The 3,585-nt window shown below is 32.1% G+C and overlaps 1 annotated feature.

Annotated features, from left to right (window-relative positions):
• Positions 1,763-2,310: an enhancer, noted in NCBI's record as "OCT4-NANOG hESC enhancer chr6:104320451-104320998 (GRCh37/hg19 assembly coordinates)". NCBI's record gives its function as "activates a minimal SCP1, AML or CMV promoter by ChIP-STARR-seq in naive H9 embryonic stem cells {active_cell/tissue: H9 hESC(naive)}" and the evidence as "EXISTENCE:reporter gene assay evidence [ECO:0000049][PMID:30033119]".

The raw sequence follows: 3,585 nt of genomic DNA, 5'->3' as shown, positions 1-3,585 counted from the left end.
TTTAGTATGCTAATGCATTATAATTAGTGTATAAAAAGCAGTGAGGATGACCAGAGGAGACCGTCTTGGTTTTGGTGGGATTTGGCTGGCTTCTTTACCACATGCTGTTTTATAAGCAAGGTCTTTGTGACCTGTATCTTGTGCCGACCTCCTATCTCATCCTGTGACTTAGAATGCCTAGCCTCCTGAGAATGCAGCCCAGTAGGTCCCAGCCTCATTTTCCCAACCCCTGTTCAAGATAGAGTCACTCTGGTTTGAGTACTTCTGACAAAAACACTCAGTATGCCAAAGTGCCATATTTTTGGCTATCATTTTCTGTGCCCCAACCCTACTAAGTAAATTTAGTATGAACTATGTATGACGAATGGTGCTGTCAGGTCCTCTTACTTGAGGACTAGCAATTGTTTAATCTTGAAAACATATATGTTATGGATTGTATCTGCTTGGCTATTTAAAAGGGTGAGTTTTTTTTTTTTTTGTCTTTGCAAATCTCTTAGCAGATTGCTTGTGATACACATCAGGTTCTTGTTTAATATTTATTGAGTAACAAAATTACTTTCTTTTCTGTCTTTGTGGATAGGTTTTCTGTGTTGGGAGGTAATTTTTCTTTTAATTATATTTCTCCAACTATGTGAAATAGACAATCATATTTCTAAAGATTCAGGATATTGTTAATTCTATGGGATGTATTAAAAGAAAAAGAAATCCAAGATCATTTAAAAAAATTTCTTACCCGGGAGGCAGAGGTTGCAGTGAGCTGAGATCGTGCCACTGCACTCCAGCCTAGCGACAGAGTGAGACTCCATCTAAAAAAACAAAAAAGTTCTTTAACAGCTCCTTTTTAAAAATGAAATAATTTTGCTATAATGTGTATTTTGTGTGTGTATGTGTGTGTGTTCTGGTATGTACTATTAATTGCATGATCTCTGAGAAGAGGATCTGTGCTTAGACTTTGATAAATAGAGCTAGTACCTACAAGCTTGTTTATTCCACTTGGTACCCTAAATCCTTCTTTGTGCATTGGGTATTTATAATCTAATAAATGCCAAGAAACATTTGGAGAATAGTCTAATTATTTTGGTGTTTCTTGTTCGCTTACATGCCTTGTTTGTATTTTTCTGGGGTAAATTTATGCTAAAAATAATCTTTAGAGTATATGCTGTAATTTAGCTCCAGGAACAGATGTGGTTTCTAAATTTGGGATGCAGTGTTCCTCAGGCTATCCCTCTGTGTGGTCTTTGAGACTTTAGTAGTAGCAATAATCATAGTTCATCTGACTCTGATAGTTTTTATGTTTTTATATAGCCCCAAATGTACATTACATGACCTATTTGATGGCAGGAATTTTTTCTACTTAGTAATATGAATATAAAACAACAATGACAAAAAAATTAACAGGAAATAAAAATCAAATAGTGGTAAGTTAACTTACTGAGGTTTTGTATTTATTCTTATTCTGAAAGAATGCAACTTTTTTTTTCCTAAAATAAATATAAATAAATCAAATCTCTTTGGCTTGATATTATTACTATGGGGAAGCATTGATTAAGACTGGAATAATTTGAAATAAACTGTCCTGAAATTTATATTCAGGGACAACAGAAGTCAACAAAGGGAAGATAATGTGCAAGTACATGTATATATAAAAGATCCAAATTAATATAATAACTGTTCTCTGGTTCTCTATAAGACCATTAACTAATATTTAGTCCTTATAGTAAGCAACAGTGAATACTATATTTACAAGGTAAAAATAAATAACAGTGAATTAATAAATTTAAACAAAATTAAAGGAAGCAACTTATTTTAATGTATTGTAGAGGTGAGATCCCTGATTTGTCTGGATTAATTTCTGAAGTTTTAGTGGCCTCTGTACTGTCTATGGGGATGTAATGCTTTCCTTCCTCAGGCAAAATTTCATAAAAACAAAGGCATTTCTAAACAGCTGCCTGATTTTGGACTGCTGCTGACCAATATTAGGAAAGAGCTGTTGTTCCTAATCAGAACAGACATTGGTCTCTTTCTCATGCAAATTTTTACTTCTAACAGCACTTTGAGTCACAATTCAGCCAAGGATTGGTCCTGATTGTATGGGGTTGCTAGGAAACACCCTTCTGTGAATGCAGGTTTTAAGATACTTTTTCACAGTGCAAATTTTTTACAATGATGGATATTAAATTTAAGATGATGTGTGAATTAAACAGTTTCATAAAATTGAAGATAAAAGGTTTTGGTTCCTCAGAAAATATATAAATAATTTCTGGCTTAATTTTTAATCTAAAATTTCTACACTTCAATATTGAAGAAATGAAATTTCCTCTATATGGCAGTGTTTTGCTGTGTATCCACAAACGTGAAAGGATATTAATTAGCATGTTGTTAGAGTGTAAGAGACTTTAATAGCCTAACTGGAAGGGCGCCCACATGTCCCTGGAAAATTACAAGCTGCAACTCACAAGCTATAACTGATAACCAGATGGATAAGTATGGAGTTAATGTTATTTCTTCTGGGACCAGAATGTCAAAATGAATATCTAATTAGGCTACTGAATAACTTTAGGAACACACAACAAAAATAAATCAAGGAGCAGTTTTAAGAACAATAAGAATAGGCCAAAGCTATCTTAATATTAAAATAAAAATCAAAGGAGTGAAGCTTTGGAATTATTGAATATAGAGCAAATATAATATTGACTACTATACTTATTTAAATAGGTTAGGTGAAATTTATTTAACTCTCATTCGATTTTTAAAGCTGATTTATAAATTGGTGAAATAGCATGGCTACAAATTATATAAAGATAAAAGTATCTTTAGAGAAGCTGGAACAATTGGCTAAGCAGAAAGTCTTTTTTTAAGAAAAATATACTTTTGATGTTTCTTTGAATTCTATAAAAAAACATTTATTTGAAATTATATCAATAAATATTTATTACTTGCTGTAGGGATAGAGGTGAACAAAATCTCTCTGTGCTCTAAAATCATAAAAAATATTGTTGACAGTTGGAGTAACTTGTAGAATTAATGTCTAGAGGCCTCTAATTTTGTACAATAATTTTAGGAATTTCAAGTGCATGTGTGTGTATGTTCATAAAATAAATGTATTATTATTTTTTAAGAGATTTATTTTTTATTCACCTCTTGATTTTAATTGTCTTTGAGGCTAAAGATAAAATTGGTCAATAACACAAATGTCTGTTACCAGTTTTAACTAACCAATTGAAGAATCTCGAGACAACAAACAAGTATGTTTACTCATTTCAATGCACAATTTGTACCATCATTTCTTGTTCAATGGAGAGCTTCGGGTACAGACACACAAATATACACCTAGATAGGTAGATGTTTTTTAAATGGATAATAATCTCCAAAAAGGAATTTTTCAGATGAAAAAGAGGATAATGAGATTTTACTTGAGACTTCCAAATGAGATAGTCTGAACATTTGGTTGAAAGCCAGTACACTATTGTGGCTAATGGCTTGGACTTTAGAATTATCCAAAACTGGGTTTAAATCTGTGATCCACTAATTAATGTTGTTATGCCTTTGTGAAAATACTTATCTCTCAAATAATCAGTTTCCTCG

The sequence above is a fragment of the Homo sapiens genome, chromosome 6 (genome assembly GCF_000001405.40).
Source record: "Homo sapiens chromosome 6, GRCh38.p14 Primary Assembly".
NCBI classification, from domain to species: Eukaryota; Metazoa; Chordata; class Mammalia; order Primates; family Hominidae; genus Homo; species Homo sapiens.
Note: the sequence above shows the minus strand (reverse complement) of the source record. Positions and strands in the feature narration are given on the sequence as shown.